General features: G+C 44.5%; 1 long non-coding RNA gene across 1 annotated transcript, besides 3 other annotated features; it reads right to left on the bottom strand.

The window, feature by feature from the left end:
- Positions 11,843–12,386: an enhancer, noted in NCBI's record as "H3K27ac-H3K4me1 hESC enhancer chr10:6780523-6781066 (GRCh37/hg19 assembly coordinates)". NCBI's record gives its function as "activates a minimal SCP1, AML or CMV promoter by ChIP-STARR-seq in primed H9 embryonic stem cells {active_cell/tissue: H9 hESC(primed)}" and the evidence as "EXISTENCE:reporter gene assay evidence [ECO:0000049][PMID:30033119]".
- Positions 12,008–13,565, bottom strand: LINP1 (lncRNA in non-homologous end joining pathway 1). Its single transcript, NR_138480.1, has 2 exons — positions 13,319–13,565; positions 12,008–12,590 (listed from the first exon to the last, which is right to left on the bottom strand). It is a non-coding gene; the product is annotated as a lncRNA in non-homologous end joining pathway 1 (long non-coding RNA).
- Positions 12,387–12,932: an enhancer, noted in NCBI's record as "H3K27ac-H3K4me1 hESC enhancer chr10:6779977-6780522 (GRCh37/hg19 assembly coordinates)". NCBI's record gives its function as "activates a minimal SCP1, AML or CMV promoter by ChIP-STARR-seq in primed H9 embryonic stem cells {active_cell/tissue: H9 hESC(primed)}" and the evidence as "EXISTENCE:reporter gene assay evidence [ECO:0000049][PMID:30033119]".
- Positions 12,979–14,178: an enhancer, noted in NCBI's record as "MED14-independent group 3 enhancer chr10:6778731-6779930 (GRCh37/hg19 assembly coordinates)". NCBI's record gives its function as "activates an origin of replication core promoter dependent on BRD2, BRD4, P300/CBP and CDK7 cofactors, and independent of MED14, by STARR-seq in HCT116 cells {active_cell/tissue: HCT116}" and the evidence as "EXISTENCE:reporter gene assay evidence [ECO:0000049][PMID:35650434]".

Raw genomic sequence — 25,077 nt, 5'->3', positions numbered from 1 at the left:
ATCAGCAGCATGAAAACAGACTAATATAGGTGACCTCCTCTCTTTGTCTCTGCCTCTCTCTCTCTTTTTACTGTGTGTGTGTGCCTGTGTGTTTGTCTGTCTCTGCCTCTCTGTTTTTCTCCTATTAGAACTGTAGAGTCAGTTGAGGCTCCTGCCTTGCCTTCTAAACAATGGAGGGATCCCATGGACTCCTGGGCTAAGCCCATCCATCTCAAAAGTAATCAGCCAGACTCTGAGCTGGTGAATCATGGGCCCCCATGGTACCACTAACCCACCTGACTTCAGGTTCTCTAGGGTGGAGGGTCCCATGCTGGCCCTTACCTCAGGCAAAGAGCTTAGCTTTAGTCCAGAACTCTTTATATTCCTGTAATGCATACAACCAGATTCCTGGCTACAACTCCATGTATCCTGGCCAGAGCCTTCAGCCTGGCTAACTCTGGTTTTGTTCTCTTTCCAGTCTAACAAGATGTGTTCTTACGGATGAACAAAGCAGTCTCTCCTTTTTGCTGTCTTCCTCCTTTAAATGTTATCTGTCCTTGCTAGCAGAAAGCATGCATTCACGTCTATACCTCTTTCCTATAATTCTTTAGTTGGTTTTTCTATCTGCTTCTGAACTATAAGTCATTTGAAGACAAGGATTACATATTTCTACTCCTTACTCCCCCATGCTGAGTGCCCACCTCATAGGAGAGGCTCACTCTTGAGTGTCCGGAAGAAGAAAGGCTAGAAACAGGGAAGTGTGGACAGATGCTGGCTGAGGAGAAAGAGGAGTTGAATGTGGTCCCAGCCATTTGGATGATGGAGACTTATCGGGGTGACCAAGTGGAATTGCCTTGGGCTGCTGTAGACAGGAGCCCAAGGCTGCAGGGAGGAGCTAGAAGCAGAAGTGAGCATCATTAGCAGAGGTGATAGCCGAGGAGCTGAGGAAAAGATGGTTCTCAGAGGAAAGAGAGAAGGGAAGGAAGAGGCCAAGGACAGATCCTGCAGGATTGTCTGATTCTTTCTTCCACAGAAGGACAAGTCAAGGAGGATGGATATTATTTCAGCTAATCCTTCCAACAACTCTTTGTGGTATTAGTTTACAGACAGAGATGAAGCTCAGAGAGTTTCAATATGCCCAGAACCATATGGCTACTAAATGGACCACCCCTGGGGCACTCCACACCCTCTCCCCTGGCATCTTCTGACCTGTTTTAGTCACTGAATTAATTTCTATAACCAATTGATCACTCTATTTCACTGGATTCACAAAAATATCTTAAGAAATCCCTTTTGATGTTCTAGCTGTTACTTTCTTCAAGCAAATCTGAAAGCAAAACATGAATGCAATGACTGTTTGTATCTAGAAGAAAAATAATCTATTAACATTGCATTCGTTACTCCCTGATCACTAGACAGAGAAGATGTTCAGGCAATAGAAGAACTACACCCAATTAAGGGACATGCTTCCTTGAAAGTCCAAGGCCGTGAGTAATTGAAACCATCCAGCCAGCACAGAGGCAGCTCAGAGCAGGGTTGCTTAGTACATAAATAAGGCCATGGCACCTGCTTGGATAACATACTCCCTGTGGCTTCAACTGCCACTGCTTTCTTTAGAATCTTGATTTGCAAGAAGAACATGGGTTTTCTTTAGTCCAGGGCTGTGATATAATTAAAAAAAAAAAAAAAACATATTTTATCTTTGTCCCTGATTCCTGGCACAGGGCTTCGAAAACGCTTGGCATTTCCTGAGTGATAGAAGGTCTTTTGTCACTCGTAACAAGCCCTTGTCACCAGATTATATATGAGTTTATGCTAATGAGGTGACTCAGTGGTTCTTAGATACTTTCAAGGGAAGGCTTGGTCATGTCAGAAAAATCCAACATGAGATTAAAGGTTTGGAACTCTCAGTACCACTCCCTGACCTCAGGGGAGGGGAGAAGAGCTGGAGACTGAGTTTAGTCACCAATGGACAATAATTTAATTAATCATGCCTGCATAATGAAACCTCCATAAAAACCCTGAATAATGGGGCTTGGGGGGCTCCCTGTGGGAAACGTATCCATGTTGGAGGGTGGTGCACCCTGGCTCCAGCCAGAGTTGGGGCAGAGGGTCCTGCACGCCTCCCTTGCCCTGGACTCTGCCCAATGCTTGTCTTTCACTTGGTTGTCCCTGAGCTCTAGCATTTGCAATCAAACCGTAGTTGTCAGCACAGCACTTTCAGTGAGCTCTGTGGGTTGCTCTAGCAAATCATCAAGTCTGAAGTGGGGGTCATGGGAACCTCCAAATCTGTAGCCAAGGCGGCCGAAGTGGGGGTACTTTGGGGACTGACAGTTGCTTCTGGTATCTAAAGTGGGGACGGTCTTGTAGGACTGTGCCCATCACTCGGGGGGTCTACACTAACTCCAAGTAGTTAGTGTCAGAATGAAATGAATTGCAGGACACCCAGTTAGTGCCCAGAGATTTGGTGTTAGAACATAGAGGCCGTCAACTGAAGGATGACAAAGTTCATAAATTTGGAAAGGAGAGCTTTATTTCTCACGAAGGGCTGCAGCCTGTGGGGTGGCCATTCTGACAGGCTGGGAAGCAGAGCCTCTGGTTAGAAGACCAGAGCAGGCATGTCCAGAGTGGAAAGAATAAGAAAGGGATTTATGCTGCATGGGGTGGGCCAATCTCCATCTTCAATAAGCCATAGGAGGAGCATGAGTACGCATGAAAGGAGAAACATGCACACACAATTGAGCTTCATGCCTCTTCATGAGTCATATGTTCAAAACATGGCAGCATTACCACAATCTGAGGGTGGAATTTTCAGCCCTCTGCCTTTAAAAGGTGAAGCAGAGGGCACAAAAACCCTCACTGGGTGTATTAGTCTGTTTTCACGCTGCTAATAAAGACATACCTGAGAATGGGAAGAAAAAGTGGTTGAATTGGACTTACAGTCCCACATGGCTGGGGAGGCCTCAGAATCACGGTAGGAGGTGAAAGACACTTCTTACATGGCAGCAGCAAGAGAAAATGAAGAAGCAAAAGTGGAAACACCCAATAAACCCATCAGATCTCATGAGACTCATTCACCATCACGGGAGCAGCATGGGAAAGACTGGCCCCCATGACTCAATTGCCTCCCCCTGGTCCCTCCTACAACATGTGGGAATTCTGGGCGATACAATTCAAGTTGAGATTTTGGTGAGGACACAGCCAATCCACATCACTGGGCATCCTCTGTAGACTGGCCAGAACCACTCTGTGGTCAATGGTCTCTTATCAGGAAGCAGTGCTGGTCAGTTGTGTCAAAATTGCAAAAAGAGAGGCACAGCATCTGCCACTTGGTTGAAGTCAGGAGTGGAGTCTTTGCAAATGGCTGCTTTCTGGTCAGCCTTTAAGAAAGAACGCCTGGTGGTGGAGGGTATAATGAGGTGTGTCCAACCACCCATCCCATCATGGCTGGGAACTCAGTTTTCAAGATCTCTCTGGGATCCCTTTGGCCAAGAGGGGGACCATTGAGTTGGTCGGGGGTGTAGAATTTTATTTCTCAAGGCTAAGATGGAATGGACAGTGAATATGTATTAAAACGCAGCTCAGCAGATGGTGGAAGGACACACATGAATGGCAGTAAACTTATTTACAGTGTGTTCTCCATTTGCTTGCTGGGAACCAAATAAGATTTGCTGAGGCTCCTTCCAGAAGCCTTTCCTGACCCACCAAGCTCGCTAAAGGCAAACTCTCTGGGCTCCCAACCCACATATCTCTCCTTGCGCACGTCTTGTGAGATATCCGAGCTGACTTGTTTATTAGTACTCTCCACTCACGGATTCTCAAATGGGGGGAGTTTGCCCCCCGGAGGACATTTGGCAATATTTAGAGACACTTTTGATTCTCACAACTATGCCAAGGCCTAGGATCCTGCTCAGCATTTTACAATGCACAGACAGCTCCTCAGGACAAGGAATGATCCAGCTCAAACGTCAGTAGTGCTGAGATTGAGAAACTCTGGGTGTCCACTGGACTGTGAGCCACTTAGGGATGGAGGTCATGTCTTATTCATTCCTGTAGCCTTAGTATATATACAACGTTTGCTGAATGGATGAATAAATGAATCAGATAGAAAACTAGGACACTTCTCTCTGACAACTGTAAGTGAAAGGTTGGTTTTGCTTGTGCACAAGCAAAGTTAACGCTGGAAATATTAACATCTTAACACCTTTCCATGAAGTGGATTAGGGTTAGTGCTTCAGGGCATAGTCCAGGGTTCCCAGAGAGTAGGCATTAGGAAAGGTCTGGAGTGGACTGAATAAGGAAGTGCAGTGTAGTGGGGAGAAAGGGGGCTTTGGCATCAAATGGTGACTGACATAGTTTTTGGTATTAACAGTATAATGTTGAACAAGCAGGTCATCTGAGTCTGTTTGTCATCTATAAAATGATAATAAGCATATATATTGTTTTAAGAAATAAATAATAGCCAAAAGATAGAATCAACCCAAATGTCCATCAATAGGTGGTTAAACAAAATATGGCATACTGTGGTATATACATACAATGGAATATTATAGAGTCTTAAAAAGGAAGAAAATTCTGACACCTTCTTCAAGACAGATGAACCTTGGGGACGTTATGTTCATTGAAATAAGGACAAATACTGCATGATTCCACCTGTATTAGGGTCCTAGTGTAGTCAAATTCATAGAAACAGAATATCAAACGGTGGTAGCCAGGGGCTGGGGTAGAGGGAAGGGGAGGAGTCAGTGCTTCATGGGGACAGAGTTTCAGTTTGGAATGATGCAAAAGTTGTGCAAATGGATGGTGGTGATGTTGCATAACAATGTGAATGTTCTTAATATCACTGAATTGTACACTTAAAAAGGCTAAAATGGTCAATTGTATGGATGTACATTTCACTACAGTAAAAGAAAAAAAGAAACTGCCTGGCATACAGTAAGGATTTATTACTCCTCCTCCCTTCCCAAGAAGAATGTGTTGCCCCCGAGACTTCTGGTTGATCTTAAGGTGAGGAACCAACAGAGAGTATCTGCAAGTAAGGGATGGGTGCATATGGACACAGATTTGATCACAAAGAAATATTTCAGACTCATCTTTCCTTTTGAACTTTTTTTTTTTTTTTTTTTGATGGAGTCTCTCTCTTTCACCCAGGCTGGAGTGCAGTGGCACGATCTCAGCTCACCGCAACCTCCACCTCCCAGGTTCAAGTGATTCTCCTGCCTCAGCCTCCCGAGTAGCTGGGATTACAGGCACCCGCTAACATGCCCTTCTAACCCAGTGTTCAACTCCCCGCAAAACTTTCCCAGAGCCATCTGAAGCCCACGGCATTCTGTTCCAAGATGAGTTAAATGAGAAGCAAAGGCTGTAAACGACTAATGCAGTCTATGTAACTAGAAATAAATTACTGTCTATGTGTAAACTATTCTTTCCTGATCAGCTCTACCAATGTGTTACCCAGAAAAATAGTTTAATCAGTCAATCTCTCTTCCTCTTGGGTACTAGTGATAGACTATATTGGGCAAAATTCAAATGACTAAGAGCAAAAGGAGAGAAGCAAATATGTATTGATCAGGGTATTACCATTTACAGACAATCCCTTACTCACAGGAGTGAACATTCACTGAGGCTATGCTAAGCCAGATGTTGCTATCTGTGTAGGATTTCATTCTGTGACCAGACAGCTCTACCTGGAGGGACTAGTGTCAAACCCATTTTAAAGATGGGAAAACTGAAGCTCAGGATGTTGAGGAACTTGCTTCAGGACATATTGCTAGTGAGGGGTGGAGCTACAATCTGAACCCAGGAACCTCCATATTACACTGCCTCCCCCTGTTTTTGAAGACAATTATTTCTGTCTAAAACAATGTCTGTCTATCCTGTAGACCATAAGCTCTGTATAGCATAACTCATAACTTGTTGAGTTCTCCAAAGAATTTGTTGAATCATTGAACACTATTGTTATACCACTTGTGCTTTGGGCCTAGTCTTTAGTTCACACAGGTATGCAAAATATTGAGCTAAGTGACATATCCTGGAATGGGGGGTTAACCATTACATAGGCGTCTGTCAGTGCCCCAAAGCCTGACCCAGATCTCTAAAGGACAGCCTCTACTGTACATGCAGCCTCTCCCTACCTGGACCTTGCCTTGAGTCTGCTGGGATTTATAGGAGGGATTACCAACCACCCCTTGCAGTCCACTGGTCAGAACATTTTCTACCAGCATCACCACCCCGACACCCACCCCCACCTTGGAATTGCATGGGATTTCTTCCCTGCCTTACACATGTTCTCAGATAATACACAAAGTGCTTTCTCTCCAAAGGTTAGGAACCATTAGGAATGGTAATTCAGTTGAGATAATACAACGCCTGAAATTTTATTTTATCTGCCAATACTGATGATTTGTACAAACTCAGAGAGGATTCTTATCCCATCGGTACCTCATTTTCCACTTAGAAAATTGAAATTTTAGCATAAACTGCTATTAATCTGTAATCTAACCAACCGGAAAATTCATTACCAAAATGTTTTTAAAATCGCAGTCAGGAAGAGCAATCAGCCATAAGAAGACCCAAGATCAAGCCGAGTGCTCGGATGTTAAGGAAGATTATAATTCCCTGTTTTCATAAGTGTTTTTATTTTTTTATCAGAGAATGCCCATCATTCCACAGGGTGTGGGGTGGAGGCAGGAGGTTGATATGAAAAAACCTAGAAAACATGGAGCAAGTCTAGGGAGAAGAAAAGTATTCACAGGAAGGAACAGATGAAGAAAAGAGAGAAGTCTGGCTATACTCCACTTGACGTTAGCCAAAAGACTGAGAAGTGATGAGAAATCCAAGTATTAGAAGCAAACTGAAGGAAATGGAGGAGGAATGAAGAAACCGAAGACAAAAGAATGTAGTCAATAATCTAAATGAGACAAATCTAAATGAGGCAAATGAGAGCTGGAGAGTATATTATTATATCAGCCAAAGCATCTTCAATTGTATGTAATGGAAAGCAAACAGGAACAGCTTAAATGAGAGGCATGGCCTCTAAGCGAGTGTCAATATCAACGTAGTCTGGAGAAAAGGTGGAACTGGGAGAGCCTGCTGAAAACCTGTGCTGAGGTCTCATTCGTGTTTCTTGGCACCAAGATTCACATAAGCGCCAGGTGTAAAGACTCACAGCTATAATCCCAGCACCCTTGTTATGGGTAGATAGGCATGAGTGGGGCAGGCTCTCCCCCTACCCACTAGGAATGTCGGTTGGTGGTTTAGCAATTATCACATTGTCTCTCTGAAGGAAATCATGTATACAGAGGTCCATTTCCAAGATAAAGTGCCTTGAATTGGCTTAGGTCAGCAAACTACATAAGAGACAGGATGTACTAGGCCCCTGCTTGCCCTGCTTGAATAGCCAATGCTTGCTTGTCAGCCTCCCCTGCTTCCCTGCCTTCCCCCGCTCCTAGTTGCCCTCACCCAAAACAAGGAAGTTTAGTCTAAGATGAAAGTTGACTACCTTACAAAATAGCTTGTTTTGTTTGTTCTTATCAGCCTGCCCAGCTACTTAGGTCATCAGTCAAATACTTGAAGAACCCCTGAGCTGACTAGGATTGCAATGCATTGTGGGCTGCAACAAAACACAACAAGACAACCCTAAAAAAAAAAAAATCACCTGAAGCTCCTACTCAGCAATCAATGGCAATGTCCGGGAAGACTGTGACCCCACAGTACTCAGCCTATGAGGAACCTGAGGAGGGACCTGTGTACTAGGGAATAAATTGCTTGTTGAAACTGTGCTGGGTGTGCCTGCCTATCAGACACCCAATCTTGCAAGACCATCATTAAAAGTCTCCCTTTCGCTGTTCTCCAGGTCTCTGAGTCCATTCTTTGGGTTTGGATGAGTGAGCTTCTTTCTCACACTCTCTAAAAAGGACAATTCAGCAGCACCAGGGAGAAGCCATTTCCTGATGGTCCACACCTGTTAACATCAAAATATTAATTGAATGCAGACCCCAGGGAGAAGCAACTCCTTGGCATGCACATTAAGAGACAAAAATTGGTGAGGTATGATTTCTGGGAGCACACTCCACCAGAAAAAAAGAAGAAAGCATCACATGGGCATGGGTACAGTTTCCTAAACACACTGCACATGCTTAGTTCCTAGGGGTAAGGAAAGCGCTATGCATACGGGAAGCCCAGCCTAAGGGAAGAATCATGGGAAATCATCTTTTCTCTCTTGGACCTTCAGGCGCCCATTTGGGTCTCTTCCAAGCCAATTTTCTGTTCTTTCCTGTTCTAAAGCCTTTTAAAATAAACTTCCACTCCTGCTCTGAAACTTGCCTTGGCCCCTTTTTCCGCTTTATGCCCCTCAGACAAATTCTTTCTTCTGAAGAGGCGAGGACTGAAGTTGCTACGGACCTGTAGGGATAGGCCGCCAGTAACTCAGGGTAACTTGGATCTCTGTCACCAGTAAGACTTTGAGATACTGAGGTGGGAGGATCACTTGCGGCTAAGAGTTCCAGACGAGCCTGGACAACATGGAAAGACCCCATCTCTACAAAAAATAAAAATATTAGTCAGGCATAGTGGCATGTACCTGTAGTTCCAGCTATTTGGGAGGCTGAGGCAGGAGGATTGCTTGAGCCCAGAAGCTGGAGGCTACAGTGAGCTATGATCACACCACTGCACTCCAGCCTGGGTGATAGAGTGAGACTCTGTCTCAAAACAAAACAAAACAAAACAAAAAGATTCATATAGGAATATTCCCTGCGTAAGCCTTCATTTTCAGGTGGTGACTGTGGTCCAATGGACTTGAGGCTGAAGACCAAGGCTTGGTCCCAACTGTGTCTCTTATTACCTGTGTGATCATGAACAAGTTACTAACTTCAGATCCAATTGCTTCGTCCTTAAAGTGGAAGTATACCTTTTTTACTGGAGTTGTTGCGAAAGCCAAATTAAACAAATATGTGAAAATATATAACGTATAGGTGACACACAGAGGCACTCAGGAAATGTCAGCCTTATCAGGCTGACGGTTTGCCTGTGCCTAAGTTAGCTGTTGCCAAACACCGTTCAGTGCATGTGGCTTTCAGTGAACAATCAGAGAATCTCTGGTCTCTGGCACAAGCAAAAGATTTACATTAGAGAGTGCAATTGACTGGCTGGCCATGTGTGCTTTCTGAAGGATGGTATTTTAAAACGGGAACAAGTGTATTGCATGCAAGATACATTTGGTGAAAAAAAATATTTAGACTACGAAACTGCAGAAAAAGCTTGTGAATTTTTTAGAAATGTAATTGCACAACATGGCCTAACTCCAAAACATTTGAAAGGCAGATAAAAACAGTATGTTTTGGAGATACTTCCTGAAATTTATATGAATCCTGTGCCTTGTCTTAGGGCTACAGGCTCAATAAAATAAAACTGTCAGGATGTGAAAACCAGGACTGTCCTGGAACTGGTGCAGTACACATGAACTTGTTGCTCACAGAAGCCGAGTAAACTATACATAGTCAGAGACATTAGTTTTCCTGATTTGTTTCATATGTACACTTCCAGTGAAACCACAATTTTAAAGCACAGGTTAGCCTGAAGTAGAATGCTATGTAGATTTCACACTGGAAAGCAGGATTATTATCTGAAATACTTTCTCCATCCTCCTACTTGCCATTAATATACATCACTGATTCAATCTCTGTACCCAGATATTATCCAAAACATAAGATTTATGATTACAGAAACTACAGCACAAAAAAAGTTGATCAATCAGAACACTTTTTTTTTTATCTTGCCTGAACACAGGGTGTTTTAAAAGGTTTTTGAGCTTGGAATTCTACCAGAAAAACAAAAACAATTCGGTGTTATTTTGCAAAAGTGTATTCTAATAAATAATCTGAAGACTTCTACCTTTCAACCAATCCCTAAAGTGAATTCAGTTAATGCAGGAGTCAATTTCCAGAGACAGAATTTTTAATCAAGCAAGTTTCAGAGAATTTTTTTTTCTGAGCAATCAGTAGAACCACAAGCCAATTTCCTATGGTGATATGTTAGTTTGAAACTAGACTTTATTTGCACCACATCAAGCAAAGCTAGGGCAGGTAGGACTGTGCATTTTATCCGATTGTGTTAAATAATTGGAAGCCAGCTTACCAGTGACTCCCAGCTGGGAGTTACTACTAATATAATTTCCAGCCAGCTCTTTGGGAGTTCAAAGCTGAATATATACATATATGCTTGAATATTTTCCACATGTAAGACTTATTTCTTTGAAATGTGATAGGACATGAACTTCACTAAATAGAACCTCCTGACTTCAGAGAAGATTAAGAAATAAATTCTTTTTAATTGATGTTGAGTTTCGTGACTCAAAGATACCCTTATCCTCCTGACTTGACAATGCACTATCATTAGAAGTGGAAATTCATAATAGAAAAAAGTAAAATTAAAAAAATTCCTTTTACCATTTATTAATTATATTATTCTCTGTTTAGCAACAGAGAGATATGTACAGAAGCCACAAAAGCTCTAGATAATTACATTTTCCAATTACAAGAGTTTCAGTTTTTGAGACTATGACATCAGAATATTTCAGAATAAGTCTTCAGTTTAGAACCAGGGTTACGATTCTTTTTAAAGAGGATTACTTTATATGTATTTCTGTGTTGCTTTGAAGGATCCCTGAGTAATTTCTATGCATGTGTCACAGGTTTTTTTTTTCTTGTCCTTCCTTCCTGGTGTCTGACTGGCCCCCGCCACTGCCCCAAGTAACCACTCCCGCCCCGAGATTACTGGGTCTAAATGGCACAGGTGTTCTCCTTTTATCCCGATTACCCTTGAAAGGATAGGGAGAAAACATTAGAAATCATGTCCCACGTAGGGTCAAGGCTGCCATGAGCTTAAGGCAGGAAGTTAAGTAAACATTGGAGACCAAAGGCCCAGAGGCCATGGCAAGGCCCAGTCGGAACAAATAAGTCACAGAGCATTCGTCTGAATTAATTCCAGAGACAACATGTCTCCACCTGCAGAAACTTCTTACATGTTCCACACTGCATTCCTAAGGCTCAGTGCCATTGAAGGGAGCTGGATTGAGGTGCAGCCACCGTCCCCTCCTGGGCACCCTCCATGCAGCTGTGTGAACCAACTCTATCGGCAACAAGAATGCATCTTGGACCCCTGCATGCTGACCTGTTACTTTATGTAGTTATAACTGTGACTTTCTTTATGCAAGCTGGCTGGCTTTATTTATTTATTTATTTATTTATTTATTTATTTATGCATTTATTTATTTGAGATGGAGTTTCGCTCTTGTCACCCAGGCTGGAGTGCAATGGCGTAATCGCCGGTCACTGCAACCTCCGCCTCTGGGTTCAAGTGATTCTCCAGCCTCCCAAGTAGCTGAGATTACAAGTACCCACCACCATGACCGGCTAATTTTTGTATTTTTTAGTAGAGATGGGGTTTCATCAAGTTGGCCAGGCTGGTCTCAAACTCCTGACTTCAGGTGATCTGCCCGCCTTGGCCTCCCAAGTTGCTGGGATTACAGGCGTTGAGCCACCGAGCCCGGCTATGCAAGCTTTAGATTGCTAAACTTGGGGCCGTCGCACAGAATAAATAGAAAATGATAGATCTGAGCAACAGAACCTGAACTGGAGCGGGGTCTGAGGTGTGTGCCTCTGGTACCATTCACTGATCCAGCTCTATCTTCTTCATAAGCGAGAGCAATGGCTCCTCCTGGCCCAGACCCCACAGCTCATGTGTGGGATGGAACTTTTCCCAGCCAGGGCACGGTGTAGAGGCAGGGACGAGATGCTGGTTGGCATTGGGGCTACTACTCTCACTACTGCCAAAATAAGAGGAGGTGAGGTATTTTTTTGCAAGTCATTTTTTAAAGGTATGTTTTGAAAGGTATTTTTTGAAAGTGAGATGTCTGATCTGCTTAGGGTAACTAAAAAAAACAGAAGAAACTATAGTTAGAAATAAAATGTTGAGAAAGAAAGAGGCAGAGAGAGTGTGCCAGTCAATCAGATTTCCAAAAGTCAATCAGATTTCTAAATCCTTTAGTCATTTGGCTGACAATATCTAAGGATCAGTTACATGCATGAGAGAGTCAATACAGAATTTAGAAATTGCTTAAGAAATTAACAACAACCCGATCCCGGCTGCAGTGGAGTCTGAAGTCCCGCAGTTGGTCTGTCTTATTCCCTGGGGTTCCTATCCCAGCCCTTACAGAGTGCCCTGGTCCCCATACCCTCTCCTACCCCAGGCCTTGCAGGACTGCAGGAGATTATTTATGCAGCTGAATCAAGATGCTGACTTCAGCACCGTAAAACCCGGCTAGCAGGGAGTCCAAGCCTAAGGGCTGTTTTGCTGACAGTTTTATAAGGTTCAGTAAATGCCAACGGCCCCCTCCTCCTTTCTTTGTGTGGCTTGAATTTCGGGGTCTTGCAGGCTGGAGAGTGGGGGCTCTGCAGTCGGCGCTGGGAGGCTCACAGAGGAGCTACCCAAATGAATGAAAGCACAGCACCATCCTGGAAAGCACAGCGCCGTCCTGGAAAGCACCGTCTGTTGTTCATTCAATTGCATCCGGGCTACTTCCACACCGGCACGTAGAGGACATTATTTAAAAGCTGGAGGAAGACAGACCAGCATTTCCTGCTATTAGTCTTTTCTTTTAAACGTTGACTCCAAGAAATGGAGTGCCCAACTTTATGCAATAACAGAAACACAGATGAAGGTTTTATGCAGAATTTTCAAGAAGCAGAAATATTCCCCATCTTTGCTCACATTCCAGTAAGAATAAACACTCACATTGCTGTGCACACGTGACCATGCACACACACACAGCCCAGATCATTCTCTCAGGCTGGGCATGTTCAGCATGTGGAAGCTAATTCAGCTGAACAAGTATGCCCGTGCTGCTTTCAGCACGTTTAACCTGTAAAATCTGAAAACTACGGAACCAGCTGGTGGGCACAGGGCTGTGGTCAGCACCCGATGCAGAGGCCTCTGCCTGCAGAATCCCTTCCCAGGCACAGGGCCACCACACAAGGGCTAATGTAATACAACTGGCGCCAGGTGCTGCAGAACGCCCTTACCAGCATTATCTCATTTAATTAGCACACAGAAATGCATGCACCTTCTAAAATATTACTTTAGGTATTTTTATTTTGCTGTCTTTGTGACAGATATTGTGATTTAGAAAGTTGAAATAATGGCCAGAGCTAATAAGTGACAAAAGTCCATTGGAGCCCACAGCTCAAACACTGTTTATATTTATTTGTTATTGCTGCAACAATGCAACATCACAAATCACCCCAAAACCTAATGGGTAAAAGCAACAACAATTTATTCTCACGTGTACTGGACCGGCTGGGCCAGCTTCTGGAGCTGAGTGCAGCTGGAGGTGGCTCTGTTCTGGGTGACACTTGTCCTTTTCCTGGGGCCCAGGAGCTGGCTGAGCAAGTTCTTCTAATGGCAGTGGCAGCTGCAAGTGGAGATATGCGAGCCCCCGGTCTAGCCTTGTAGCCGGTGCGCCACCTCCTTCTCATTCTATTGAGCAAGGAAAAGTCACACAGCCCACCCAGAGTCAAGGAGACGGAGGGAGGAAATTCACTTCCCCCACAGGGGAGGAACTGCAAAGTCACTGGGCAAAGGGTGTGGGCAGGTAGGGTGAAGAATCAGAGCCAATGGGTAACATGACTCCTCTGTTCTTAGCCTCTGCATCATCGCCCTGGAATTCTGCCTGTGAGCTGACATTTCTGGGAGCTTCATAAATTCATTCTCAAGTATATTAATTAATACTGAGAGACAAAAATAACTGAGTGGTTGGCGGTGACACTTAAAGACAGTCTTCATGAATCCCAGCTGTCACTCACTGCCTGCAACCTTGACCAATTTCCTTAACTCTCAGCCTCATTTTCCTAGTATATGAGAGATATTGTGAGCCAAGCATGGTGGAGTCAATGCTTTCTGCTATTTTAGAGTTTACAGCTCAACAGGTGGTCAGTTCAGTGTTGTGGATGTTCCTTTTTTTTTTTTTTTTTTTTTTTGAGGCACGGTCTCTCTCTGTCGCCCAGGCTGGAGTGCAGTGGTACAATTATAACTCACTGCAGCCTCAAACTCCTGGGGTCAAGCGATGCCCCCTGCCTCAGCCTCCTGTGTAGCTGGGAATACAGGTGTAAATGTTCTTTACTAACTATGTAGGATATGGAAATTTAATGGGGTGACTTTTGTCTGGAAGGACAAGCTGACAATGACAAGATTTCCCTCTTCCCCTCTAGGGTGCAGCGACAAGAACTGCAAGGTGCTGCTCCCTCCCGTGACTCCTAAGCTGCTAGACGAGAGCTGTGCTTCTCCTATCTAGGTCTCAAGACATGGCCCTGTGTTTCCAGTCCTTCAGGGGAGGTTCCAGGATAGTGTGGCAATGGTGGTACCCAGGGTGGACTTGGTCTGTCACTCTACAGAGGTAAGCCTGCAGCCTGCAACTGGCTAAGACAGCTGCAAAAAGGATTAGAAATGAACCAGTGAGTTCACCATGTTGCCCCCTTCATTAAGCCCCTCACCTGCAACATAGGGCAGGTGGCAGCATTGCCCGGTGGTTAGGGACACTAGCTCTGCTACTTCTTCACTGTATGACCCAGGGAAAGCTGCTTAGCCTTCATGCCTCTCACTGCTCATCAATAAAATGCAGAAAGCCCTAGGGAAGTTGCCAGCCACCCACTCCCCCTGGAGCCAGCATCTGCCTCGCTGGAGCATTGAGACAAGATCCATGCTTGTGTGACTCGGTGCCTCTCCTGGCTCGCTTTCTTTTCCAGTTAGTGTGCGTATGTACAGCCATTGTCCAACACTTCTGTTGGACACCTTTGGAGATGGGTTCTCTTACTCTGGTGTGAGTTTTCTATAGTTGGGAGACTGCCGCCTGCCAAAGGGAGAAGATGGTGGTGCCGTGCACCTCCCTTCCCCACTTCTCAGGTCACATTAGCTGAACATGTGATAATTATTAATGGACCTAATGATTGAGCAAACAGATCAATCATCCATCAGATGGAAATGACTTTACATGTTAATAAACGATGGCAAGAACAGGCAAATGGTTAACTCCTTGGGATAAGTCACAGCGATACAATTTCAGATAAGCCAGAAGCAAGGTGGGGGGTGGTCTTTTGTGGAATTCTTCAAACCCTTCCCCTTCCATCCAGTGGGTCCTCATCCTGAAGGATCATAGAGTCACCCAGGAGCTTCTAAAAATGCCACTCGCCCGGACTCGTGCCTTCCTCACCAACTCGGGATTTCCGGGGCTCTGGATTATCGGGTAAGCCCAACAATCACTGGGAGCAGGAAGCGAGGGGAGATCAGGAGTGTGGAAGGACAGGGGTTCTCAAACTGTAGACAGCATCCAGATTCCTTGAGTGTTTAATGAGGCACCATCTGAGATCGGTCGGAATGGCTATTACTAAAAGTCAAAACTGTCAAATGCTGGCTAGGCAGCAGGGAAGAGAAAATACTTATACCTTATTGGTGGGAATGTCGATTAGCTCAGCCACTGTGGAAAGCAGTTTGGAGATCTCTCAAAGCTCTGAAAACAGGGCTATCATTCAACTGAGCAATGCAATTACTAGGTATATATCCACAGGAAAATAAACCATGCTACCAGAAAACACATGTATGCAGATGTTCATCACAGCACTGCTCCCAACAGCAAAAATAGGGAATCAACCTAAATGCCCATCATTGGTGGACTGGATAAAGAAAACGTGGTACATAGACACCATAGAATACTATGGAGCCACAAAAAAGAATGAGATCATGTCCTTTGCAGCAACATGGATGCAGCCGGAAGCCATTATTCTAAGTGAATTAATGCAGGAACAGAAAACAAATACCGCATGGTCTCACTTATAGGTGGGAGCTAAACACGGAGCACACGTGGACATAAACATGGAAACAATAGACACTGCAGGTTATTAGAGTGGGGAGTGAGGGGGCAAAGGTGGAAATGCTGACCCATCCTGGGTGACGGGCTAACCTGGACCCCAAACCTCAGCATCATGCAATACAACCAAGTAACAAACCTGCACACACGCCCTCTGAATCTGAAATAAAAGTTGAAATTATTTTAACAAAACTTTTTAAAAAATTAAAACCCAGATTCCAGGTTCCTTGCCCCACCCCCAGAGGGTCTGATTTAATAGGTCTAAGGTGGTCCCTGGAATTTCCTGCTGCTTCTGCTGCTGCCTCAGGAGCCACACACATGGCAAGCAGGTGACCCCTGCCCTCCCCTGGCCAGGGCAGAGCCTCTGCGGCATGCTGACCACTGTGCCCTCCTCTAGACAGCTGGCTCAGGGGACAGCCTGCTCCCTCCCTGTGCCCTGGCTGCCCTGCAGCTATTCTCTCTCCTTCCTCTCTCAGGCCCCCTCTGGCTTATTTTTCCCTGTCTTTGGAAGTTCCCAGTACTCACAACTGGATGCTGCGGAAATAAGACATGAGGACCTCGGCGTCGTCTCTGGGCACACAGCTCACCGGTCATGAGTGAAGCTCCCAAGGCCAGCGAACCTCTCTCCAGCACCAACGGGGCTGTGACCAATACTGCCTCATGCCCAGTCCCTGATCTTATTTGTGGTAAAGCAGCCCACACTTTTTAGTGCAAGGATTTCTGCCCCTCCCTGTTTGATAGCGATCAGAGACGCCTCACCGTGGGCCATCCATGCGGGTGTTTCGTTCACATTTTTTCCATTGGCAATCTCTCTGAAGTAAAACCTCTCTCGTATATGAATTAACTGGGACAAAGAATGGGTGGCCTGCAGGGAGCCACGTTTAAATATACCTTGAGACGGTTTCATGAAGATTTCTTCCCCTCACCTCATTTTCTATGTGACTATGAGGATGTGCTCTTGTTTTCTGCATGTTTCTCATAATCACTTTCTCGCTAGTGTGGCCTCTTCCGCCTCGCCTTCACAGACGGAGCTTGATAATACCTGCCTGAAGGGTGTTTGCTGTGAACTGGTCCCTTGAAGAATCTTGATGGACAGTGGCAATCATAAAGGCTAAATTAGAGTGGGAACTGAAGGGAGATGAGTGGAAGGGCAGGGAGGAATCAGAGAACGTTATTCTTCTTTTTTGTTTTGTTTTGTTTTGAGACAGAGTTTTGCTCTTGTTGCCCAGGCTGGAGTGCAATGGTGTGATCTCGGCTCACTGTAACCTCTGCCTCCCGGGTTCAAGTGATTCTCCTGCCCCAGCCTTCCACGTAGCTGGGACCACAGGCACTCGCCACCATGCCTGGCTAATTTTGTATTTTTAGTAGAGATGAGGTTTCACCATGTTGGCCAGCCTGGTCTCAAACTCCTGACCTCAGGTGATCTGCCTGTCTTGGCTTCTCAGAGTGCTGGGATTACAGGCATGAGCCATCCACTGAGCCAGAGAACATTATTCTTCTAAATTCTGGGTTGTGAGTGTGTGAACATGCGTAAGCATGTGACCATGTACATACTATTTCCCCCTTCCCTCTCTCTCGAGCAGCCCTACATACCCTTTTCCTAGACAAAATAACACCTTCCGAATCACAGACCCCTTAGTTATAATATCAGCATGCCTACAATTCCACCTGAGTAGCTTGACATGAAGTCATTACTTGTGTACATCTTAACCTGCACCTGCTTAATGTGAGGACTCCAGGTCATAGCAATTGTACTACTCAGAAACGCCTACTTCTGATCAATAAAGAGAATCATTAAACTTCTCAGAACAAATTACTCTATGTCCGTGCGAGGAAATCGGAGCAGCCATGAAACATCTGCATCTGGTACCCCTGGGGGGTGGGATGACAGACTCTTCTTTCCTCCTTGGCACCTCTATTCTCTAAGTTCTCAACAAGAAGTTTCCCCGGGAAGCAGCCTCCCTTTCCACCCTGCCCATCTCACCCCACACTGCATCAGCCGGTCTCTCTCTTCCCCTAATGCCCTGCACGAACACCTGCCATTGCATTTACTGACCTGTAGTTCAATTATCTACTTATCTCACCTGCTTTGCTCATGATCCTATGCAACCCTTGAGGTCATGGATTGTATCTTGTCAATCTCTACTTCCCAGCAATGAGCACCATATTTACTGCATGGTAATTGCCAAGTATTTGTTGAATGAATGAAGGACCCAAACCATTAACAGCGCTGTCTCTGGGTGGTGATTTTTATTTTCTTCTCTTTGCTTTTTCTTCGTCTAAGTTTTTTGTTGTTGTTCTTACTTTGAGGATGTATTACTTCTATAATCAGATAAAAGAATTTATAAAAATTGAGCCACTCCTTTCTGCTAGTTGATCCAAATGAAGAAAATACTTTGAATAATTTAATCAATGAACACACTTTTGCTGAATGTCTATTATGGGCTCTATGTGCAGATATTTATGCTGCCTTTAAAAAGTCTTTCATGCGTTATGTACTTTAAACTTCTTAAATGAATACATTCCCATTCAAAAATTTTTCAAATGTCCTAATCTTCGGAGCTCACGTGTGTTTAGAATTAACTGCTCTGTGACTCCGCTGGGCCTCTTATAGTTTAAGATATCTAGAGGGGGTGGCTGTAAGGAAAATACAGTTTTTATCCTTACAAACTGGTCTAAGTGAGAAGTGCTTTTCAAACATATCCACCTACCTGGCAAAATCTTAACACCTTTCAAATTCTAACTCATGTAAAAAATAGGTTGTTTTTTAGCCTGGACTAGAGGAGAGCCATGTTTTCATTTTTCAACAAAGGATAGAGTCCTAAATCCTGTCATTTGCAACAACATGGATGGGCCTAGAGGATGTTGTGCTAAGTAAAGCAAGCTGGCACAGAAAGACAAATACCACAGGGTCTCACCAACATGTGGAATCTAAAAAAGTCCAATTCAGAAGGACTCAGGTGGGTGCCAGAGGCTGTGGGGAAGAGATGGAGATAAAGAGATGTTGGTCAAAGTGTGCAGAGTTTTTGTTAAAAGGAGTAAGTTTTTGAGCTCTATGGCATATCGTGGTGACCATAGTTAATGATAATGTAATGTACATTTCAAAATTGCTAAAAGGGTAGATTTTAAATGTTTGTACCATAAAACAAAAGCATGTGAGTTTCTGGATATGTTAATTAGTGGGATTTAATCATTCCAAAATATACACATATATCAAAACATCATGTATATAATATATGCAATTATTATTTATGAATTAGAAATAAAATTTTCAGAAAACGGACAGAGTCCCGGGCAGGTCACTCTCTCAGCATGCAGAGAGGAGAGGCACCGTCAACGTCTGACCTTGATGGACCTTGAGGTCCCATCCATCCTTGTCTGAAGAGAAGGTGAGGCTCACAGGGCTCTCCGTATTCATCAGCCTCAGGTAAGACTTGTTTTTTTGTTTGTTTGTTTGTTTGTTGAAACAGAATCTCGTTCTGTTGCCTAGGCTAGAGTGCAGTGGCATGATCTCAGCTCACTGCAACCTCTCCCTTCTGGGTTCAAGCAATTCTCCTGCCTCAGCCTCTCCTGAGTAGCTGGAACTACAAGCATGCACCACCAGACCTGACTAATTTTTGTATTTTTAGTAGAGACGACGTTTCTTCATGTTGGCCAGGGTGGTCACAAACTCCTGACCTCAGGTGATCCGCCCACCTCAGCCTCCCAAAGTGCTGGGATTACAGGCGTGAGCCACCGTGCCCAGCTGGTAAGATGCTTCTTAAGGCAGAGAGAGACGAGGCAAAGGGCAAGGCAGTGGAATCAGGAGCAAGGTCTCTAGCGCCTTTCTGGACTGCATCAGTGACATCAGAGAAAGAAAACAAACTTCTGCCCATGCCAGGGAGCAAATAGGACCTCACATCACGGCCTCCGTGTTATCATGAGCTGGCCTGATGCTTCCAGCTAAGCCACGTGCTCTCCAGTTGGACAGAAATAATTTCCGAGAATGTCCACTCAGGCCAGATCATGCTAAATCCCACACATCTTCCACTCTTGCTAAGTAAGCAACTGCTGCATCTTTCCCAGTTCCAGCTTTGGTCTCCCTCTAGTCTGTCCTCCCTAGAGATGACAGATGTATTCAGATACCCCCTCACAGAATCACCCCTGGCCTCTGGCAACTCCCGACTAGAGAAAACCTCTGCTTCCTTAGACCCTCCCGAAAATCACCCAACCAAAGCCCAAGCCTGGTAGTAGGTCATTCCCAACATCTTCTTACTCTGAGACTTCCTGCAGTTCCCAAGCTGTGTGTGCTGTCTCACTGCAACTTGTAATAAACCCAACTTGTTCAACTACAGGTGTGTACCTGGTGGCTTTCGGCCACAGGGCAAGTGGTCAGTATGAGCTAAGTACCGTTCTCCAAGCTTGTTGAAATATTCTTTGCTGACTGACTACTGAACACTATCTATATCTGGAACCCCAAGCTATCTCAGGCCATACACAAGGTCAGGATCATGAGGTGATTCCACCCCTTCTGCTGCTGTTGTCCTCTGTCAATCACCTGCATCCAAAGCCATCTCCCGCATCACCAGTCAGGGATTTCCACAGCAAGCACATGTTCAATGAGCATCTACAGGCTAAGCTCCGGGCTAAAGCTTATGGAGAAAAGCCTTGCCCCTATATAATTTTGATTACCCACCAAGTACTAAATGTGGTGTGGACATAGTACACTTCTCATGTGGTCCCGAAAGCTTCCATCTGCAGAAAGTACAAGACGAACACATTCTAATAAACAGGAAGCTATGAACCAGCTACATCATCCATCAGCTCTTTCTTATCAGGGAATTGGCAGGATACATTAACAAAAGGGTAATTATTTATTAATGGTTACTTGAAACCTGGGCTTTCCACACCCGATTTCAAAACACACAGGGCCATTTATTTGAAGTGGTTTCCGGACTTTGATGGATTGAATATTCGCCCGTGCTGGCAAAGGCATACACACAGTGATGCTAACTAGAGTAACTATAGAAACTATCCTATCCTGATACAGCCTTAGAACATCTCTGAACAATCATCCGCATAAAGGAAACATCAAGGGAATAGAAAAACCATCTGGTCTCTATAGCTAGAACATTTGAACAGCTTGTAAAGGGAAAGAAATTGAAACCTCACAACAAAAAATCTGGCAGATGATAAACACAAGATTTTTGAGTTTATCAGCCAGTTGCTACAGACCAAGATCAATATACAAAGAAAGGACATGCTCATAACCCAGGACCTCCGACTGGAATGAAAAGACAGGCAGAAAAACCTGAAAGGTTTGAGGCTGATTACAGTTATACTACCCCGAGCCCACTACTCACAGAAAGCTATTTATTTTCTTTACAGATGATGGAAAATTCCAAACAGAATAAAATTATACAGAATGTTGCAAGAAAAAGCATTTCTTTGGGTGTTTCTAGCTCAGCTGCAAACAGGAGGTAGTGAAGTCCCACGAGGAAGGTGTGCTCTGTTGAAATGTCTAAGTCGATTGTGCAGTTTTGAAAGTCACTGCCAATCCAGAGATGATTTCAACCCAAGTTCTTTCGTGAAATAATAATTCCCAGCTCCTAAATAATTCCCAGCTCCTAAATCCCAGATCTGACTCTTTCTAAATGTGTCTTTTTCCTGTCTCTTCTTGCTCACCTCTTCTGTAGCCACAGGCAGTTTTCAGCCAACAGTTTGACTTCAACAAAGTCAGCAGCATCCTGAGTCAAACCTGGCTAGAGTCCCTCTACTCAGAGCAGTGTTGCATGGGTGTGTCACACAGATGTGCACAGTCACCCAGACCACAGGGCTTCTCTGGAATCTGGACGGGAACTTGGCTAGGGCTTGACCTGCTTCGGTTCACCACCTCTCTGCCTAGCCCTTTTCTATGGAATTTCCATCTGCTTCTCTACAGCAATGACTTGAAAACTGGCAACATAAGATACTAGCAACTCATTACTGAATAGGGCATTTTAATGTCTTTCAAAGTCCTTCTAAAGCCATTTAATGTGTGTGTTTAGGCATCTCTCCCAAAATAGAATGTCCTATTTTGGCTCCCCTTTTTTTTTCTCTACCTCCTAATCCCATCACCCAAAGGGAACCACTGTTAGTAGTTTTATGTGAGTCTGTTTATGGTCATCAAACATCTACTTAAGTTTCAAACCAAAATTATGTCATATCTTTTGTCATGTTCTACAACCTGCTATCTTACTTTACAATGTTATGAATGTCTTTGTAATACATTAATTGCAGGTGTACTTAAAGGTTGCACTGCTGTCCATTGCATCAAGATACCCTCAGATGTCCATTCAGTCTCCTAATTCCTCTCGATGATACAGTGTTGCAATCAACAGCTTTGAACGTGAAAGAAAATGCAATGTCCTAGTATGCTTGTAATTGTCTTATCTCCAAGATGTTGAGATAAATGTAGATAGTTTCACCTACCTACGGCCCTATTGCCTTCTCCCAGACATGAGCACCTCCCACTTAAGTACGAGGCTGAGCTTGGGAATAACTGCCTTTTACCCCCACATGTAATTGAGCACCAAGGGCCATCTTTTCTTGCTTTTCAATACTTCCCAAATGAATCCACTCTTTTTCTGTCTCTCCTCCCATCTTAAGCAACTACCATCTCTTACCTGGGTTACAACACCATCTGCAATGTGGACCTCTCTATTCCTCTTATGTGACTGTAATCCAGCCACATGGTGATACTGATCATACTCAATTCAACTATGATTATTCCCCTGCTGAGACCCTTCACAGGGGTCCGTGGTCCTTGGGATACAATAAACACTTCTCAGCATTCATTTCTCAGGTTCTTGTTTTCCTTCTCAGCCCTCTCTGCTGCCTCTTCCAACATGGAAGCCCACAGTCCAGGCAGGCATGTGGAACAACGTTCACCTCCTCAAAAGTGCCACTTTTTCTCCTCCCCTCAAGCGTCTGCACCTGCTGTGTCCTAAGCTTGGATCAATTTGCCATTTACTCATCTCCCTCAAGCCCCTGAGACTGTGGCTTTACGTGGAGTAAGTTCAAATGTTCCTCTCCTTAAGAAGTCCTTCCTGATCTCTCCTTTAGTCCAGGCTAGATCTTCTCCTCTCCCCTTCCCCCCTTCATCACTCATGACATTTTTCATAATTGCATGTTGATTTATGCATTCACCCTGCCAGGGGCCACTCTTGGGAAACCCTCTCCACAGGGCACTCTGGTCTCCAGTGATCCCCATGTGTGCAGATCTCTCCTTCTCATGGGAGCTAAATGAGAAGAGTAGACTTCTTAATTTTTAAGCTTGGTACAAGACATGTGTGCCCTTTCCCAGAGTTAAGCCACCATCTGTCTCATGAGAAGAGAGCACACAAACCTACTCCTACGAAAAGTTTGTCATTATTTAGAAAACGTGCTTCTTTCTCCTTGTTGTTGTTAATGTTTCTGTTAGAGAGACAACACAGCAGCCTATGAAGTGAGGGAGAGAGGACCGAGTGTCCCCGGGTGTTCCAACTTTTTTCCATAAGTCTAACCCTATGGAGCAAAACTCCCATTGGAAGAATCGCCACCTGGTCCCAGCAGAACAATGCCACCATCAAGCAAGCTACGGCACTTCTGAGGTCCAGAACTGTTTGGACCAAAGCAAAATCAAAACAAACAAACATACACACAAAACATGGTGGAGGGCTGAAGTCAGTTGTCTAATACCTACAACTTGCTTAGCAATGGACTTTTTCAGGAATAAAGGGATCGTGAATCCCTTTGACTGGTCTCTGCATCTTGGAGCTCTGAACTAAGAGTCATATTAGTGTATTAATGTATTGTCTGGGGGATATGAGCTCTGATTTGGGCAAATCCTGGAACATACCCACTCTGCCAGCTCCATACATTCAAGGATCTAACTGTCTCATTTATCATGAATCTCCAGCACCTAGGACAGTGCATAAACCATGGCAGGTGCTTGAAAAATATTGCCGGAATAAATTAAAAACTGAATAAGAAGAGACAATAAAAGCCATCAAGAACAATTATCCCACCCAAATTTCCCCCATAAATGACAGAATGCTCTAGAAATCCATAACTGGAGAATCCTCAGATCCTTTCTAAAGTGACAGGAGGCAGAAAGACAGCGGGTTGGAAGCTCAAGGAGTGGACAATTGAGTAAAGGCAGTAGGGACACGGGTCCTATCTGCCTTCCAAGGTAGTCCATTGGTATGCATCACTGATAAAATGATGGAGGGAAGGCATCTCTTCCAGCTTCATTGTGGGGAAGACCAGCAAGCAGATTCACAGGCTGGCTGGTTTCATCCAGACGCGAAGACACGACTTGAGGATGCTGTCTAGACTGGAGGGAATATGCTACATCAGCCAAAGGCCCCGGGGTTTATTTTAGTTCTGTGCGTACCTTTAACGTCATAAGGTGATGCTGCAGTGCCCTGAGAAAGAGAGACAGCCACACTTGCATGCTGCACCGCACAGGACACTGAATCACCAGGCCACACACTTCGTGGGTGAGCCAGAGAGAATCCATTTAATGAAGGCTTGGACCAGGATTTCCCATACCTTGTTTCATGGAGCTTTGTGCTTTGAGCTACTCCAGGAAATCAATGGTTACCTGGTCAGATAAGTAAAGAAATGCTGCACATTCTAATTCCTTATTTTTATTTATTTTTTATTTATTTGAGATACAGTCTCACTGTGCTGCCCAGACTGGAATACAGTGGCATGATCTCAGCTCACTGTGACCTCTGCCTCCCAGATTCAAGTGATTCTCTTGCCTCAGCCTCCTGAGTAGCTGGGATTACAGGGGTGCACCACCATGCCTGGCTAATTTTTGTGTTTTTAGTAGAGACATGGTTTCACCATGTTGGCCAGGCTGGTTTCGAACTCCTGACCTCAAATGATCCACCCACCTCGGCCTCCCAAACTGCTGGGATTACAGGTGCGAGCCACCACACCTGGCCAGATCTTCCTTCTTTCCTTAAAAAGAAATAATCTAAATTAAAAACTCATTAACCCCTTAAAAAGGAAGGACGTTTTGACACATACTACAATGTGGAAGAACCTGGAGGACATTAGGCTCAGTAAAATCAGCCAGTCCCAAAAGGATGACTATAGCACCATTGTATGAGATCCATAGAATAGCCAAATTCATAGACAGAAAGTAGAAGGGAGCTTGCCAGGGACTGGGG

The sequence above is a fragment of the Homo sapiens genome, chromosome 10, assembly GCF_000001405.40.
Source record: "Homo sapiens chromosome 10, GRCh38.p14 Primary Assembly".
Taxonomy (NCBI): domain Eukaryota; kingdom Metazoa; phylum Chordata; class Mammalia; order Primates; family Hominidae; genus Homo; species Homo sapiens.
This window is presented reverse-complemented; position numbering and strand designations above follow the sequence as displayed.